Below are 16,801 nucleotides of genomic sequence, written 5' to 3' on the forward strand. Positions count from 1 at the left end.
CCTCATCCTGATCTCCCATCCAGCTTTTGACAGCTTGCTTGGTGCTGGACAATTGCACACATCTTACCACCCCCAAATCCTGCCCAGAAGCATCTTGTGCATAACTCTCCTACCTGAATATGCAACAGGGAGAAAGAGCGTCCCAGGACATTTTAGGTTTTTGAAGAAAAAAAAACCCCTTTGGTAAAAAGCCAGAGATCCACAGCGGCCACTTTTTCCATGGGATTGACCCCTGCAATCTTGACTTTCAACCACACAGCACCAGAGTAGCCAAACATTGCTTGTGTCCAAACGCTGGCTGCCTTGAAGGGTGAAAGAATAAGCAGTTCCCAAACTCAGCTGACCTTAATGTCCTTCTAGCTCCTTACGCCCATCTCGGACAAAAGCAGAAATGTATGTCTCAGTTGTGTTTCTACCCCTTGCTGCCCAATATAAATTTTTGTGTTGCCCAATATAATTTTTTGTGACGATGGAAATGTTCTGTATTTGTGTTGTCTGATGAGATAACCACTAACTGTAGTGCTATTGAGCATTTGAAACATGGCTAGTGTAATCAATGAACCAAATTTTTAATTTTATTTAATTGTAATTAATTTTAAGTGGCCACATGCAGGGAGTGACTGCTGCATTGGACAGCACGGCTCTAAATTGAGCCTTTTTTCCTTATTTGGTGAGGCATACTTGCCTTAAGATTGGGAAGTCTATTTTTGGAACCTGCTACCAATGCTGGTCTCACACTTGCAATTCTCAGCTGAGCCAAGAGGTGAGAGAAAGGTCATTTTCCATTCCAGATCTCACTCTCCCCTGTGACACTGAGGAAACTGGCAAGTGATGTGAAGGCTGGAGAGCGTGTCCTGTATGCTGGCTCTGTCCCTTCTGCCTGTGTTGACTGACATAGTTAGTTGCTGCCCTTGCTGGTCTCCCTTCCTCCAACCTTGCCTCTCTGAGCACACCTGACATTCATCTCATGACTTCCCTAAAAACATTCTTTGGGAACAAGAAACTAACAAATCCCAAGTGACCTATCACATATACAAACATACAGGGCAGAGTTTGGATTCGCGGTAGAAGAAAGGGAGGTTAGACATTAAGAAGAATGGTCTGGTGATGACAGTTGTGAGATAATAGAAACAGGAAAAAGAAATCTAAGTTTTCTTTCTTTTTTTAAGAACCAATAATAATTTCTCTCTTTTGACTAGTCAGTAGGGCTGGGGTGGATTGGAGGAAGCTTACATATTCCATGAACAAGCCTCTTCCTAAGGTCCTGTAAGTGATCCTGCCCCACTGATTAGCCCCTAGAAGACCCTTCAAAGGTTGGATCTCCAGGAGGGAGTGGGGGAGGAAAGCCCTGTACCAGGCAGCCTCTGCTCCATTGCTCTGGGGGGGTGGGGAAGGCAAACCCTGGTCATCCCCTCAGTCTGTAGCCCTTTTGTGTGAGTGCCTGGCAAGGGTGACGTGGGGCTGTTTCTGCGGGCACAGCTGCAGCAATTACCGGAGTGGAGGCAGGGCCCAGGCAGCACTGCCCTCCAAGATCTTCCCTTGGGCTTTTCAGCAGTAAGGGGACATGCACCCCAAGGGCCTCCACTTGGCCTGACCTTGCTGCGGGGGCTCTCTGTCCCCAGGAACAGTAGAGATGGCAAGCTTATCAAGACCCTCTCTGCCCAGCTGCCTCTGCTCCTTCCTCCTCCTCCTCCTCCTCCAAGTGTCTTCCAGCTATGCAGGTAAGACATGTTTTTTTTCCTGCCCTGGGGAGACCCTGAAAACAGAAAGGCTAGTTTCCTGGGGCTTAGCTCCTTCAAACATCCTCAAGTTGCTATATTATCTTTCTAAAACATAGACCTACTGACATGCCTCCCTTCCTCAGAAACCTTCCGTGGGTGGTTCTTACAGCCTTCAAGATGGAGTCCAGACTCTTTTTTTTTTTTGAGACAGAGTCTCCCTCTGTTGCTCAGGCTGGAGTGCAGTGGCATGATCTCGGCTCACTGCAACCTCAGCCTCCCTGGTTCAAGCGATTCTCCTGACTTGGCCTCCCAAGTAGCGGAGACTACAGGCGCCTGCCACCACACCCAGCTAAATTTTTTCTTTTCTTTTTTTTTTTTTTTTTTTTTGTATTTTAGTACAGACGGGGTTTCACATGTTGGCCAGGATGGTCTCGATCTCTTGACCTGCTGATCCGCCCGCCTCAGCTTCCCAAAGTACTGGGATTATGGGCGTGAGCCACTGCACTAGGCCTAATTTTTTTATTTTTAGTAGAGATGGGGTTTCACCATGTTGGCCAGGCTGGTCTGGAACCCCTGACCTCAAGTGGTCTGCCCTCCTCAGCCTCCCAAAGTGCTGAGATTACAGGCATGAGCCATTGCGTCTGACCCAGACTCCTTAATGTGACTAACTCAAGGCTTTCCTTGAACTACTTCTTACTTGTCTTTCCAGCTTTGTCTTTTCACCTCTCAAATTGAGATAAAATAATAACAACCTCTTGGAGTTCTCATCAGGATTACATGAAATGAGATATGTAACATGCTTAGCAGTGCCTGTCCATAGTAAATCTCAATAAATGTTTGTGGAATTATAATATCTTGTCATGTTTGAGACTTTGCTCTGCATAATCAGGCACCAGTAGGTTTTTATAAAGGAACCCGGCTGTCACGTGCAGAGGAGAAATAAACAGAAAGTTTCCCATCCTCAGGGAGCCACCTGACTGACAGAGGCACAGTGCATCCACTCTCCAGGTCTAGGGGAGAAAGCAGCCTTATTTCTTAGTAGCTCAGAATCTGACTTGAGAAACACATCCACATAGAAAAAAACAAGGAACTTTTTCGGGTCAGGGTCCGGGAGCCACAGTGAGGTGGAAGATACAGGGGAAGGAAGAGGGAAATAGAGCCATCCCCAGGGTGGAAGATCTCAGAAGAGAATTTGGGAAACAAGGTATGAACAAGGACTGAATAGTGAGAAGTGATGGAGAGACAGTTAAAGTAGATGGAGTGACAAAAGCAAAACCTCTAAGGGTAGAATAGGCAGCAATTTGGCCAAGTCCTAACAGGGAGGCCCATAGGAGGATTCAACCTCAAGATGCTGTGCCACATTCCAAGAGGGAACCTAAAGGCTGGGCTGAAGAGTCAGAGATGGCTACAGCTGGCAAAAAGATGGGCAGATGCTGAGAGGAGATGATTGCTAAAATGTTCTGTCCAGGACATTCACAGTATCTCTATAACCAGAGTCTTTTTTGTCGTTGTTGTTCTCAAGAAGGAAACTTGAGGCCGGGTGTGGTGGTTTATGCCCATAATCCCAGCGCTTTGGGGCCAAGGCAGGCGGATCACCTGAGGTCAGGAGTTCGAGACCAGCCTGGCCAACAGTGTGAAACCTCATCTTTACTAAAAATACAAAAATTAGCTGGATGCGGCGGTAGGTGCCTGTAATGCCAGCTACTCGGGAGGCTGAGGCAGGAGAATCACTTGAACCTGGGAGGCGGAGGTTGCAGGGAGGCGGAGGTTGCAGTGAGCCAAGATTGCACCACTGCACTCCAGCCTGGGCGACAGAGAGTAAGACTGTCTCAAAAAATAAATGAATAAATAAAAAGGAAGAAGAAGAAGAAGAACAATTGCAATCCTCCCTGGCTCTAGAATGTCATTTAAAAGTCGAGTGTCTTCTTCCTTCCCTGTTTTGAAGCAGCCCTTCTCATGACAGGCTTGCTTGCCAAGGTTCCCTCTGACCTTAAATCTCTTCCTTTTGGTGTCTTGGACAGGGCAGTTCAGAGTGATAGGACCAAGACACCCTATCCGGGCTCTGGTCGGGGATGAAGTGGAATTGCCATGTCGCATATCTCCTGGGAAGAACGCTACAGGCATGGAGGTGGGGTGGTACCGCCCCCCCTTCTCTAGGGTGGTTCATCTCTACAGAAATGGCAAGGACCAAGATGGAGACCAGGCACCTGAATATCGGGGCCGGACAGAGCTGCTGAAAGATGCTATTGGTGAGGGAAAGGTGACTCTCAGGATCCGGAATGTAAGGTTCTCAGATGAAGGAGGTTTCACCTGCTTCTTCCGAGATCATTCTTACCAAGAGGAGGCAGCAATGGAATTGAAAGTAGAAGGTGAGTAGTGCCATATAATATTAGGTATTAACTGTTGGGTGGCCAAGAACAATTATTCTCTCAACTGAGATGAGATCCCTCAACCCAAACATCTCAGTCCTGGGAATGATTTCCATAAAAATGTACACATCAATAAACAGAAACTCATGCTTAGGGATGTCTGTTGCATCATTATTCAGAGTAGCAAGGAAATTGGGATCAAAATCAATGCCTTTGAGTAGGTAAGTGACAGAATGAACAATGGTAGCCATACTGTGAATATTATGCAGGCATTAAAAAGATTATTTTAGCACTAGGCCAGATGGTTTGGAGGCCTTCTATAAGGTATTATTGAGTGATAAGAGCAAGCTGCTGTAGGATACAAAAACAAAAACAAAACCCTAGGGCATGGTGGTTTGCCTCGCAGCTACTCAGGAGGCTGAGACGGGAGGCTGGCTTGAGCCCAGGGGTTTGCAGTTACAGTGAGCTATGATTGCACCACTGCACTCCAACCCGGGTGACAGAGCAAAGACCTTCACCCCCACTCCCTACCCGTCTCTAAAAAAAACAAAAACAAAAACAAAAAAACCCTTGGGCCCAGCGCCGTGGCTCACGCCTGTAATCCCAGCACTGTGGGAGGCCGAGGTGGGCAGATCACAAGGTCAGGAGATCGAGACCATCCTGGCTAAAACGGTGAAACCCCGTCTCTACTAAAAATACAAAAAAAAAAAAAAAATTAGCCAGGCATGGTAGCAGGCGCCTGTAGTCCCAGCTACTCGGGAGGCTGAGGCAGGAGAATGGCGTGAACCCGGAAGCGGAGGTTGCAGTGAGCCAAAATCCTTCCACTGCACTCCAGCATGGGGGACACAGCGAGACTCCGTCTCAAAAAAAAAAAAAAAACCCTGTATTTGTGAGCGCACACACACACACACACACACACACACCTGTGCTTGGTCCTAGTGAATAAGCAAGTAAATCAAATGTCTAAATATAATTATAGAAAGGAGATGTCACTTTTTGGCTGTACCTCCACTATTTCATTCTGCAGAATTGCAGAATTTCTTTTTTTTTTTCCTTTCTTTCTTTTCTTTTTTTTTTTGACACAGAGTCTCGCTCTGTCACCCAGGCTGGAGTGCAATGGCGCCCTCCGCCTCCTGGGTTCAAGTGATTCTCCTGCCTCAGCCTCCCGAGTAGCTGAGATTACAGGTGCCCACCACCACACCCAGCTAATTTTTGTATTTTTAGTAGAGACAGGGTTTCACCAGGTTGTCAAGGTTGGTCTCAAACTCCTGACCTCAGGTGATCCACTCGCCTCAGCCTCCCAAAGTGCTGGGATTACAGGCATGAGCCATGGTGCCCGGCCTCAGAATTTCATTTTCAACATGTTTTGCATGATGGGTGATTTTGGAGAATATTTTTTGCTCTATCGCAGGATGATTAAGATGTGGACAAGGTGAAGCCGATGGAGGGGGAGCTTTGAAAGTTACTTGCTATTTAATTGAGGAACTAAACTGCTTTGAGAGCCTGGGGGTCAGATCCTCTGCCTTTTCCTCCTCCCCACCTGCAGTGCAAACATCAGACAATTGATCACTATTGTATCTTGGAGGTGGGAGTGACCATTGCAGTGCTGGGACCAGAAGATGGCATTGTATGTGGAACAACAAAGCACTATTTCTAGAGACTGCCTGCAGGGATATGGAAATAGCTTTATGTGTCTCAGAATGTTCTTCATACAGCTGTTTTTATTGGGGAAATTCTACTTGCCGAAAAGTTTGATAGTGAGACCCTCTCCAGTTTGCAGATTTTTCTCCTTCCTGCTCAACAACTTCCTAGCTCAGTAACTGCCTCTCCCAACAAACTCCCTCAGTTTCACCACACCAAAAAAGGAAGACAAGCCGGTTGCGGTGGCTCACACCTATAATCCCAAAACTTTGGGAGGCCGAGGCGGGTGGATCACCTGAGGTCGGGAGTTCGAGACTAGCCTGACCAACATGGAGAAACCCTGTCTCTACTAAAAACACAAAATTAGCCTGGCGTGGTGGCGCATTCCTGTAATCCCAGCTGGGAGGCTGAGGCAGGAGAATCGCTTGAACCCCGGAGGCGGAGGTTGCAGTGAGCCAAGATCGTGCCATTACACTCCAGTCTGGGCAAGAAAAGTGGAACTCCATCTCAAAAAAAAAAAAAAAAAAAAAACAAGGAAGACAAAAAGAAAAGCAGCTAAAGACTTTGCCTCAGGGGAGAAAGTTCTCTTTTGGGTTGCTATCCACATTCCAACCTCCTGTTCCCACCTCTTCGTCTGCATGCCTAAGAAACTGTTTTACAAGTAAATAAGGGACGCTTTGTCTAGGCTTTGGAGCCAGGAAGTTGAGACAAATTTAGGAATGAGATGAAGTAATGGTATTATTGCAAGTCTCAGGTGTAACTACCTCTGCTCTTTCTCTGAAGAGTTTCTAATTTCTCTTGTTTACTTATTTTTTTCTTGTCATTTTTGTGATTTTATTACTAGTTGTCTCTAATCCTTTCTTTAAATTCTTCATTATGAAACATAAAAACAAATGCCAGGCGCGGCAGCTCACGCCTGTAATCCCAGCACTTTGGGAGGCCGAAGCGGGCAGATCACCCGAGGTCAGGAGTTCGAGACCAGCCTGATCAACATGGAGAAACCCCGTCTCTACTAAAAAATACAAAATTAGCTAGGCGTGGTGGCACATGCCAGTAATCCCAGCTACTTGAGAGACTGAGGCAGGAGAATCGCTTGAACCGGGAGGCAGAGGTTGCGGTGAGCCAAGATCGCGCCATTGCACTCCAGCCTGGGCAACAAGAGCAAAACTCTGTCTCAAAAAAAAAAAACCACATACAAACCAGAGATAATATTATAATGAGCCTCCAAGTGCCTACCACCTTGCTGCAGCACTTGTCAATCCAGGGACCACCCACCTCACCGGCTCCCCACTCATTACCACCCTCCCCTACTCAATTACTGAGGTAAATCCTAGGCAGCATGATCATTTCTTTTTTTTCTTTTTATTTATTTTGAGACAGGATCTGTCTCTGTCACCCAGGCTGGAGTGTAGTGGCATATCTCTGCTCACTGCAGCCTCTGCCTCCCGGGCAGAAGCCATCCTCCCACCTCAGCCTACATAGTAGCTGGGACCACAGGCACACACCACCACACACTGCTAATGTTTTGTATTTTTTGTAGAGACTGGGTTTTACCATGTTGATCAGGCTGGTCTCAAACTCCTAGGCTCAAGCAATCCTCCCACCTCGGCCTCCCAAAGTGCTAGAATTACAGGCGCGAGCCACTGCACCCAGCGAAGAACACTTTTTAAAAAATAAATAGGCCGGGCGCGGTGGCTCACACCTGTAATCCCAGTACTTTGGGAGCCCAAGGAGGGCGAATCATGAGGTCAAGAGATTGAGACCATCCTAGCTAACATGGTGAAACCCCATTTCTACTACAAATACAAAAACAAAATTAGCCTGGCGTGGTGGCAGGCGCCTGTAGTCCCAGCTACTTGGGAGCTGAGGCAGGAGAATGGAGTGAACCCGGGAGGCGGAGCTTGCAGTGAGCTGAGATCATGCCACTGCACTCCAGCCTGGGGCAACAGAGTGAGACTCAAAAAAAAAAAAAAAAAAGCCCCCCCTCCCCACACACAATAATATAAATAAATAAATAACCACAATACTATTATCACATCTTACAAACTCAACAAAAATTTCTTAATATCATCAAATACCCAGTTTGTGTTCAAATTTTCCTGATTGTTTCATAAATATACTCTTACAGTTGGTTTCTTTTAGCGAGATTCAAATGAGACCCACCTGTTGACCTTTGCCCTTAGGGTTTCCCAGGGTCTGAATTTTGTTGACGACATTCCCATGTTGCTATGTAATACGGTCCTCCATGCCCTGTGTTTTTCTGTAAACTGATAGATGTGGAGGTGCAATGACATTTGTGTTTGATTTACTTTGGCAAATATAGTTCATCAGTGATACTCTATACTTCTTGTTGCTTTACATCCGGAGGCTGATAATGTCTGCTTTTCTCTCTTTTCTAATTATTTGTGAAAGGAAAAATGTGGGGGGTTGGGAGAAAAAAACCCTTAAGTACATACTCGCTAAATCACATTGCTACAGGTAACTTCCATTAAGAACTTGAAAGTAAAGGTAGCTGCATTTTCCCCTAGGGAACACAATGATAGACAGGAGCCTTAGTCTACAGCTTGAAGGATTGTAATTATACCTAAGCAACCCTCCTGGACCAGTTTAATGTTATTAGCTGTGATGTATCCCTACCTTTGATGTCATTATCCTTACTCAGCTCCCTTAAAGCAGAGATCAAGATGAAAAGGGCTTCAGCTGCAGCATGGCACATGGAGATTAGAGTGGGGCTTTTGGATGCTGAGGAGCAGACCTAGAATGGGAAATAGATGGGAGCCACAGAAGTGAAGGTCCCCCTCCCTCATTGCTCAACCTACTCCACATCTCCAGGTCTGCACATCTGTTCAGTTACTGAATCCTGTGTAAGCTACCTTCTTTTTCTTTTTTCTTTTATTTATTTATTTATTTTTTTTTTGAGATGGAGTTTTGCTCTTGTTACCCAGGCTGGAGTGCAATGGTGCAATCTCGGCTCACTGCACCCTCCAACTCCCAGGTTCATGCAATTCTCCTCCCTCAGCCTTCCAAGTAGCTGGGATTACAGGCTGCACCACCATGTCTGGCTAATTTTTGTATTATCAGTAGAGAGAGGGTTTCACCATGTTGGCCAAGCCGGTCTCGAACTCCTGACCTCAAGTGATCCACCCACCTTGGCCTCCCAAAATGCTGGGATTACAGGTGTGAGCCACCATGCCCGCTGTAAACTACCTTCTTAAAAGCTCTAGAAGAGGGCTCTTAACCTTTTGTTGTGTGTCATGCACCTTCCGCAAGCTGATGAAGTTGATAGACCCATCTCAGAATTTTTTTTTTTTTTTTGAGACAGTGTCTCACTCTGTCACCCAGGATTGGTTGCAGTGGCACGATCATGGCTCATTGCAGCCTCCACCTCCCAGGCTCAAGTGATCCTCCTGACTCAGCCTCTTGAATAGCTGAGACCACAGGCTTGTGTCACCATGCCCAGGTAATTTTTAATTTTTTTTCGTAGAGGCAGGGTCTCACATTATGTTGCCCAGTCTGGCCTCGAGAACTCCTGGGCTCAAGCAATCTTCCTGCCTTGGCCTCCCAAAGTGGTGGGATTACAGGGGAGAGCCACCACACCTAGCCAGAAGAATGTTTTAAATACACCAAATAAAACATTTATACCAAAATACAGTTATCAAAATATTAAATTAACAAGAGTTAGGGTGACCCTATTAATTAGTGTAATTTCAAAATAGTAATGAACATAAGTGATAGTTTGAGATTTCTGTGACTTTTCTAATGTGACGTGAAAATATTTGTGATTTTTCTTTTTCTTTTTTTTTTTTGAGATGGAGTTTCGCTCTTGTTGCCCAGGCTGGAGTGCAATGGCAAGATCTCGGCTCACCTCAACCTCCGCCTCCTGGGTTCAAGCGATTCTCCTGCCTCAGCCTCTTGAGTAGCTGGGATTACAGGACTGTGCCACCACGTCCAGCTAATTTTGTATTTTTAGTAGAAACAGGGTTTCTCCATGTTGGTCAGGCTGGTCTTGAACTCCCAACCTCAGGCGATCCGCCCGCCTCGGCCTCCCAAAGTGCTGGGATTACAGGTGTGAGCCACCGCACCTGGCCAATATTTGTGATTTTTATTGACGACAAAGTCAAAGGTTCTCTTCATATTATTGTGGTGTATCGCCTACAAGCATAATTAAAATAAACACTAAATTTCAGTTTAAAGTTTACTGAAAATAAATATGTATTTTTTATTCCCTATTTAAGCTTTGAATCCCCTGACTTCCTATACCATTACCACTGTCCTAGTTCAGGTTCATGTTGTTTTTTACTTTAATTGTTATCACAGTCTCTTAACATTTCTCCCTATGTTCTCCAGTCCTGTAGGTGCTAAATCTGACGTGGTCACTTCTCAGCTTGGAATCCTTCAGTGCACCACCACAGCCTTGAACTACATATTTGAAATACATATTTATTTTCAGTAAACTTTAAACTGAAATTTAGTGTTTATTTTAATTATGCTTGTAGGCGATACACCACAATAATATGAAGAGAACCTTTGACTTTGTCGTCAATAAAAAGTCCCTTGAGGGACTTCAGATGTAAGTCCCTTAGCTGCTCGTTAAAACTCCCCCAGCCTGACCCAATACACAATCTTGACTTTAAACCACTTGTCATTCTAAATCACTAGCATTTCCTGGAAAAAAAAGCCATTTTTCCTTCAGGGCTAAGCTCAGGGACCAATTCTGTGTCACCTTCTTTGAATCCTGATGATATTCACTTCTTTATTTGACCTGATTTATTGGGCCCCAGACACCATGCTGAGTGTTGGGGATTCAGCTCTGGACAATGTCAAATGTCAGTCCTGCCTTTCAGATCCTTTCTACTGGGTGAGCCCTGGAGTGCTGGTTCTCCTCGCGGTGCTGCCTGTGCTCCTCCTGCAGATCACTGTTGGCCTCATCTTCCTCTGCCTGCAGTACAGACTGAGAGGTACAGGGCAGAGGGTGGGTGGATCAGGATCCTTTCTTTAAATGAGCTGGCTTCTTGGAGCTACACCACTTAACATGTATTTGTGAGTGACTTCTGGGTTCAGAAGTTCTTCTCACTATTGAGTGATAAAGAAAAAAAATAACTCCATGATGAAAGAGTTTTACATCTTACGGAATGCTTTCATATGAATAATCGGACCTAGCATTTCCCTATGAGCTAACTATGCCATATAGTAACCCCATTTTACAGAGGATACAACTGAGGCCAGGAGTAGTTCAGTGACTTACTCAAACCGATATAACTTATAAGTGGTAGAGCTGAGGCCTCTGTATCATACCTAGCAGCTCCATGCAACTTGGGAGAGTGTGAGCTTCGAAGTCAGACAGGTCTAGGCTATTAGGAGTTTTGAATAAAGATACTGAAGTGAAAGTCTCTACCACACAGTAGGCGTTCGAAAATTGTTTCCTCTTTCTCCATTCAACACTGAGGACTCAGGTTCAGCTGCTGATGAAGCTCCTCTTTTTTGCCTAGAGCTTTCATTCTGAGCCTTCTCCTCCTACCAAGTGTCTCCCCAATGCCAGAGCAGGAAGAGTCTTCACTCCTCCCCATGCCCCACCTCCCATTTGTTACTAAGAGGAGAGGAGAAAGTAGCAAGGAGGGTATGGGGAATGTTCTGGGGGAATGGGTGTTGGTGCGATCAACAACAAAGTCCTTTCTCTCACCTTGAATTCATCCCAGATGCCTGCTTGTTTACTTCTTCCACACAAAAAAAGGCCTTCAGCCCTCATGGCTGAGCAGAAAGAATCTGAATGTTAGAGTCAGGCAGCCTGGGTTTGAATTCCATCTCAGGTACTGAACTCTATAGCAAAATTCTTAGATTCTCCAAGCTTCAGTTGCCTTGTCTGTCAAATAGAGAAAACATCCTTCGTCCTAAATTGTAGGGAGGATTAAAGTCATGCAAAGTGCCTACTACAAATCCAGTCACAAAGTAGCTAGCTACTCACTAAATGTTCAGCTCCTCCCTCCTCATTCAGATGGGAAGTGGCTTTAGATAAACAAAGTGGCAACGCAGTGGGCTGGAGCAGCTCTGTGAACTGAGAATCCAAGAAAAGGGGCGAAGAGCAGCTGGGATGTATTGGATGCTTGTGCTGGCTTGGAGCATTGCTCACATTCTTTATTCGCTATTGTATCTAGACTATAGCTAGAGAAAGAGCCGCAACCATTGGCTTTAAATCCAGTGCTCTTCCTACTCTCCTGAGGTTGTTTCCAGGCTGCAGAGAAATAGCCTGCACAAGGGGCCCAGGCGCTGGGTGTGGGAGGGTCCCCACCGAGAGCCAGAACATGCAGGAACTAAAATGTTGCCTTTTTCTATTTTAGGAAAACTTCGAGCAGAGATAGGTGAGTTCCAGTCATCGTTTCTCCCAATTCTTGCCTTTTGGTTTTTTGGCATAACGGAAATGGTCCCGTTCTTGGACCGTCTCTCCCTCTCAATACCCTGTTTTCCCCTCAGTTTCCCTTTCTCTACAGTGGGTGTGTCGTGCCTAGAACAAGTTTTAAGTAATTAAATAACAAAGACTCAGGATAAAAGATCCTTTTTGAGTGCCCTACTAAATCCATTTCCATTTGTTTCTCTTTCAGAGAATCTCCACCGGACTTTTGGTAAGTTCCGGCATGTCTAGGCCCTCCCAGGTCAACTTGGTATTTCACTCTAGTTCCAGTCACCTGGGGGAACAAGGACCCCTGGCTCCTGGTTGAGTCCCTTCCTCTCTTCTCTTTTCTTTCTTTAAATAAGAAGTCATTTGCATTTAGGATTGGTAAAATCATAATAAAAATACTCATGTACTGTTTTTATGTGCCAGGCACTATTCTAACTACTTTACAAAAATGTTATCTTATTCTGTTTAACTCCTTATGCACATGATCTCTCTTTTCAGGAATGGCAAAACAGAGGTAAATAGATCGTTTACACGTAAACCTGATGTCTGGTTGGGGAGGTGAAACAAACAGAAACAAGACACAACTGTATCACCTGTACTTATATTTCTGCTTTACAAACTCAGGATGTTTCCATGAGTACAGAACATGACTAATCAGAGAAGACCTCATAGAGGAATAGAAAAGCCACCAAGCCCCACTAGGAATTGACCCCTCAAGGACATGGTTTCTAGCCTTTTTGTTCACTGCAGATTGCCCAATGCCTAAAGATAATGGCAACAGAAGAGCACCCAAATATTTGTTAGATAAATGTTGCAGACACTAGAAGGTGTCATTAGGGCACAGATGGTACCTTCTCTGAGCAAACTTCCTTCACAGCTCCTCCTCCCGAGGCTGTAGGTGACTCTACTCTTGTCACCTGGCACACAGAGTTCTATCGTACGATTTAGGAAATTAGACCAGTGTGTGGACCACACACACACACATCTTTACACACCCAAAGAGGAGGAATAGTATCTTTGTTTTGGAGGACTTGACTATGAAAGGTCTTAACTCCTTTTTGTACCATGAATCTCTCTGGCACTCCAGTGAAGTCTAAAGGACCCCTTTGCAGAATGTTTTTAAATATACACATAAAATAGAACACATAGGATTGCAAAAACAATCATTGTACTAAAATACAGTTATCAACCGATAATCACATTTGTGATATAGTAACATAAATGTTTCTTTTTTTTTTTTTTTGAGGCAGAGTTTTGCTCTTGTCACCCAGGCTGGAGTGCAATGGCGCGATCTAGGCTCACTGAAACCTCTGCCTCCCGGGTTCAAGCGATTCTCAGCCTCCTGAGTAGCTGGGATTACAGGTGCCCGCCACCACACCCAGCTAATTTTTGTATTTTTAGTAGAGACTAGGTTTCACCAGGTTGGCCAGGCTGGCCTCGAACTCCTGACCTCAGGTGATCCACCTGCCTTGGCCTCCCAAAGTGCTGGGATTACGGGCATGAGCCACCGTGCCCGGCCATAAATATTTCTTTAGCCAAAGTAATACATTAAGTAATGTAGCAGCAAGTCTAATAACCTGTAATTTCTTTCTTTCTTTCTTTCTTTCTTTTTTTTTGAGATGAAGTTTTTTTGAGATGGAGTGCAATGGCACAATCTCGGCTCACTGCAACCTCCACCTCCTGGGTTCAAGCGATTCTCCTGCCTCAGCCTCCCAAGTTGCTGGAACTACAGGCGCATGCCACCATGCCCAGCTAATTTTTGTATTTTTAGTAGAGACGGGGTTTCACCATGTTGGCCAGGCTGGTCTTGAACCCCTGACCTCAGGTGATCTGCCTGCCTTGGCCTTCCAAAGTGCTGGGATTACAGGCATGAGCCACCAGGCCCAGCCCAATAACCTTTAATTTCAACATACTAATAAACATAAACAGTATTTCAAGATTTCTGCAATAACTCTAATGGGAATGAAAACATCTGTGGCTTCCATTGGTAATTAAGTCACAGGTACTGCTCATATTGTGGTTAGTTGTAAAATGTTTTGGTTTGTTTTGTTTTTTCCAAGACTTGGGGGAATGGGTGTTGGTGGGATCAACAAGAGTCTTGCTCTGTGGCCCAGGCTGGAGTGCAGGGGCAGGATCTTGGCTCACTGCAACCTCCGCCTCCCAGGTTCAAGCGATTCTCCTGCCTCAGCCTCCTGAGTAGCTGGCATTACAGGCATGTGCCACCACGCCCACCTAATTTTTACATTTTTAGTAGAGATGGGGTTTCACCATGTTGGCCTGGCTGGTCTTGAACTCTTGGCCTCATGATCCACCCGTCTCGGACTCCCAGAGTGTTGGGATTACAGGCATGAGCCACCACACCTGGCAGTTGTTACATTTTTAATGAAAGAAAATGTTAAATCCAGTTATTGAAAATAAGGAGGCAGTACTTTTCTCATCCAAGTTCATGGACTTTCTGAATTTTGTCCCCAGAGTCCTTTGGTGTTCTAGGACCCCAGGTTAAGGAACCAAAAAAGACAGGTGGGTGGGGCATGAGGGGGAACACATGTTAACCCTGTTTGTTCTGGTGAACAATTCAGATCCCCACTTTCTGAGGGTGCCCTGCTGGAAGATAACCCTGTTTGTAATTGTGCCGGTTCTTGGACCCTTGGTTGCCTTGATCATCTGCTACAACTGGCTACATCGAAGACTAGCAGGTGCAGTGGCTGGGCAGCAGGCAAGACCACCAAATAGTGGGGGACCAAGTCAGCTCTGAATGGGAAGCCAAAAGAGAATAGAACCAGGACTCAAGATTAGGGGAGCTGGGATTTCCTTATTCCTCTGTCCCCATGCCCAACCCCAGGCTCTTCTGAGAAACTGTGAAGAGAACCACTTACTGGATCTGTGGGATCCCCCAGTGGAAAGGGCAGTGTGGGTCACTCCAAATGTCCATAGGGAGGATGTGGGGAAGGTGCTATTCATCTTCCACTAATCACATATTTGTTTCTTTTTGTTTTCAGGGCAATTCCTTGAAGAGCTACGTAAGTTCTCTTCTCTCTGTTATAAGCAGAGAATAAAAAGCCAGGAAAGGGAGACAGAAGCAACAAGAGGAAGAGGCGGGCTATTGAGGGATCACATTCCCAGAGGAAAGGAGGAGCTGGAGAGCCTGGGTGGAGGGAAGACTCCTCCTGGGAGGTAGAGGGCAAAGAAGCCAGCTGTTAGAGACACATTTACAGGTGGCAGAGAAGCTGGAGGCACTCCTATCTGCCACCTGATCCATTCCTCCTTCACTGCCCCTAAGCAGGAATCCAACCCTAGCTGGTCTCATTGCCCATTCCACAGCAACTGCCCAGTGCCTCACCTCTCAGATCAACCATTGAGGCAGGAATGGAGACAAGATGACCCCAAGGGCTTTTCTTCTCCCTAGTTCAATGGTTTTATGATACAAACTACTGACATACGTTTTTCAAGTTATTTTCTCCTTCTTCTAGGAAATCCCTTCTGAGTGATGTCACATCTTGGCAGGGGTGGAGGAGAGCCTGGTTGCCCAGGGATTTGTCCTTGGGGACATCTCATCCATCAAGTTGCACACTCACTGGCATCTTTGCTATGGGGACATTCCAATTTGCACTTTCAGGAACACTCTGAATTCCAAGTAGAATTGATTTCCCTTCTTCTGTCATCTACCTTTTCTCTTCATTTTCCCATTTTTATTACCCTTCTTTCCATTTCTCTCTCCAGTCTTCCACCTGGAAGCCCTCTCTGGCTAAGGACAGGCAGGTGCCCCTCTCTCCATCAGAGGACACCTGTACTGGAGAGCAACACAGGATGGTCTCTGCCATGAACTGGAGGCCAGGAATCTCCTCACTGAAAATTACAGTATGGTAACTTTGCAAATGGTGGTTGTTTCTTCCAAGACTCCAGCCCTGATTGCGCAAAACTGAAAGGCATGTGAAGGGAAGGAAGAGGAAGAGTGCAAAACATTGAAGAGAGAGCTGAGTGAGCTGAAGAGTGAGGATATGAGTAGCCCCAACCCAAACCTGGAGATGGGGAGAAACCTACAGAATACTAGCCAGAGCTCCTCCTTGTCTTGGCAGCCTACTAGGGACCTGGGGAAGCAAAAACGAAAGCTGGGCAACATGCCTGCTTTAGAATGTTTTCCTTCTACTTACACATCTTCCACAGGTCTCAGAATCTTTCCTTCCTCTCATCCTTTTCTCCTATCTTCATATCTATCAGAGTATCCACTGTTTATTCAACAACTACTACTTGATGGTCAGACACAAACAAACAAGCTAGGTGCTAATTAATAAAGATACGAGTTTTGGCCGGGTGCGGTGGCTCACGCCTGTAATCCCAGCACTTTGGGAGGCCGAGGCGGGCGAATCACGAGGTCAGGAGTTCAAGACCAGCCTGGCCAACATGGTGAAACCCCATCTCTACTAAAAATACAAACAATTAACTGAGCATAGTGGTGGGCACCTATAATACCAGCTACTCCGGAGGCTGAGGCAGGAGAATCGCTTGAACCCAGGAGGCAGAGGTTGCAGTGAGCTGAGATCGTGCCACTGCACTCTAGCCGGAGTGACAGAGTAAGACTCTGTCTCAAAAATAAATAAATAAATAAATAAATAAATAAATAAATAAATAAATAAAAAATAATAATACAAGTTTTCATAAGCACACTTCTAACCCCT

General features: G+C 45.6%; 1 protein-coding gene across 10 annotated transcripts, besides 7 other annotated features; it reads left to right on the plus strand.

The window, feature by feature from the left end:
- MOG (myelin oligodendrocyte glycoprotein) lies at window positions 1,516–16,789 on the plus strand. Of its 10 annotated transcripts, none has more exons than NM_001008228.3 (8): window positions 1,516–1,721; window positions 3,743–4,090; window positions 10,576–10,689; window positions 12,067–12,087; window positions 12,328–12,348; window positions 14,598–14,645; window positions 15,125–15,145; window positions 15,596–16,789. In NM_001008228.3, the coding sequence occupies exons 1-8, from the start codon at window positions 1,634–1,636 to the stop codon at window positions 15,607–15,609; spliced, it is 675 nt and encodes a 224-aa protein (NP_001008229.1). In that variant the 5' UTR covers window positions 1,516–1,633; the 3' UTR covers window positions 15,610–16,789. The 10 variants fall into 10 exon arrangements, with proteins under 10 accessions (NP_001008229.1, NP_996534.2, NP_996532.2 ...); NM_206811.4 differs by having other exon boundaries at window positions 15,846–16,789; NM_206809.4 differs by lacking the exon at window positions 14,598–14,645 and adding an exon at window positions 14,705–14,821.
- Window positions 4,280–4,716: a silencer, noted in NCBI's record as "fragment chr6:29627633-29628069 (GRCh37/hg19 assembly coordinates)". NCBI's record gives its function as "represses an EF-1alpha promoter that drives an FKBP-Casp9 reporter gene in an ReSE screen in K562 erythroleukemia cells {active_cell/tissue: K562}" and the evidence as "EXISTENCE:reporter gene assay evidence [ECO:0000049][PMID:32094911]".
- Window positions 5,098–6,012: an enhancer, noted in NCBI's record as "OCT4-NANOG-H3K27ac-H3K4me1 hESC enhancer chr6:29628451-29629365 (GRCh37/hg19 assembly coordinates)". NCBI's record gives its function as "activates a minimal SCP1, AML or CMV promoter by ChIP-STARR-seq in naive H9 embryonic stem cells {active_cell/tissue: H9 hESC(naive)}" and the evidence as "EXISTENCE:reporter gene assay evidence [ECO:0000049][PMID:30033119]".
- Window positions 6,013–6,927: an enhancer, noted in NCBI's record as "OCT4-NANOG-H3K27ac-H3K4me1 hESC enhancer chr6:29629366-29630280 (GRCh37/hg19 assembly coordinates)". NCBI's record gives its function as "activates a minimal SCP1, AML or CMV promoter by ChIP-STARR-seq in naive and primed H9 embryonic stem cells {active_cell/tissue: H9 hESC(naive and primed)}" and the evidence as "EXISTENCE:reporter gene assay evidence [ECO:0000049][PMID:30033119]".
- Window positions 6,928–7,841: an enhancer, noted in NCBI's record as "NANOG-H3K27ac-H3K4me1 hESC enhancer chr6:29630281-29631194 (GRCh37/hg19 assembly coordinates)". NCBI's record gives its function as "activates a minimal SCP1, AML or CMV promoter by ChIP-STARR-seq in primed H9 embryonic stem cells {active_cell/tissue: H9 hESC(primed)}" and the evidence as "EXISTENCE:reporter gene assay evidence [ECO:0000049][PMID:30033119]".
- Window positions 10,692–11,301: an enhancer, noted in NCBI's record as "NANOG-H3K27ac hESC enhancer chr6:29634045-29634654 (GRCh37/hg19 assembly coordinates)". NCBI's record gives its function as "activates a minimal SCP1, AML or CMV promoter by ChIP-STARR-seq in naive H9 embryonic stem cells {active_cell/tissue: H9 hESC(naive)}" and the evidence as "EXISTENCE:reporter gene assay evidence [ECO:0000049][PMID:30033119]".
- Window positions 11,302–11,911: an enhancer, noted in NCBI's record as "NANOG-H3K27ac hESC enhancer chr6:29634655-29635264 (GRCh37/hg19 assembly coordinates)". NCBI's record gives its function as "activates a minimal SCP1, AML or CMV promoter by ChIP-STARR-seq in naive and primed H9 embryonic stem cells {active_cell/tissue: H9 hESC(naive and primed)}" and the evidence as "EXISTENCE:reporter gene assay evidence [ECO:0000049][PMID:30033119]".
- Window positions 11,615–11,824: a silencer, noted in NCBI's record as "fragment chr6:29634968-29635177 (GRCh37/hg19 assembly coordinates)". NCBI's record gives its function as "represses an EF-1alpha promoter that drives an FKBP-Casp9 reporter gene in an ReSE screen in K562 erythroleukemia cells {active_cell/tissue: K562}" and the evidence as "EXISTENCE:reporter gene assay evidence [ECO:0000049][PMID:32094911]".

The sequence above is a fragment of the Homo sapiens genome, chromosome 6, assembly GCF_000001405.40.
Source record: "Homo sapiens chromosome 6, GRCh38.p14 Primary Assembly".
Classification (NCBI taxonomy): Eukaryota; Metazoa; Chordata; class Mammalia; order Primates; family Hominidae; genus Homo; species Homo sapiens.

Bases quoted from the DNA above. Each gene is read 5' to 3' on its own strand.
- MOG (NM_001363610.2), top strand. From the start codon at position 1,634: ATGGCAAGCTTATCAAGACCCTCTCTGCCCAGCTGCCTCTGCTCCTTC. The intron at 4,091-10,575 runs GTGAGTAGTGCC...CCTGCCTTTCAG, and splicing joins AATGGAATTGAAAGTAGAAG to ATCCTTTCTACTGGGTGAGC. The intron at 14,822-15,124 runs GTGCAGTGGCTG...TTTTGTTTTCAG, and splicing joins GCTACATCGAAGACTAGCAG to GGCAATTCCTTGAAGAGCTA.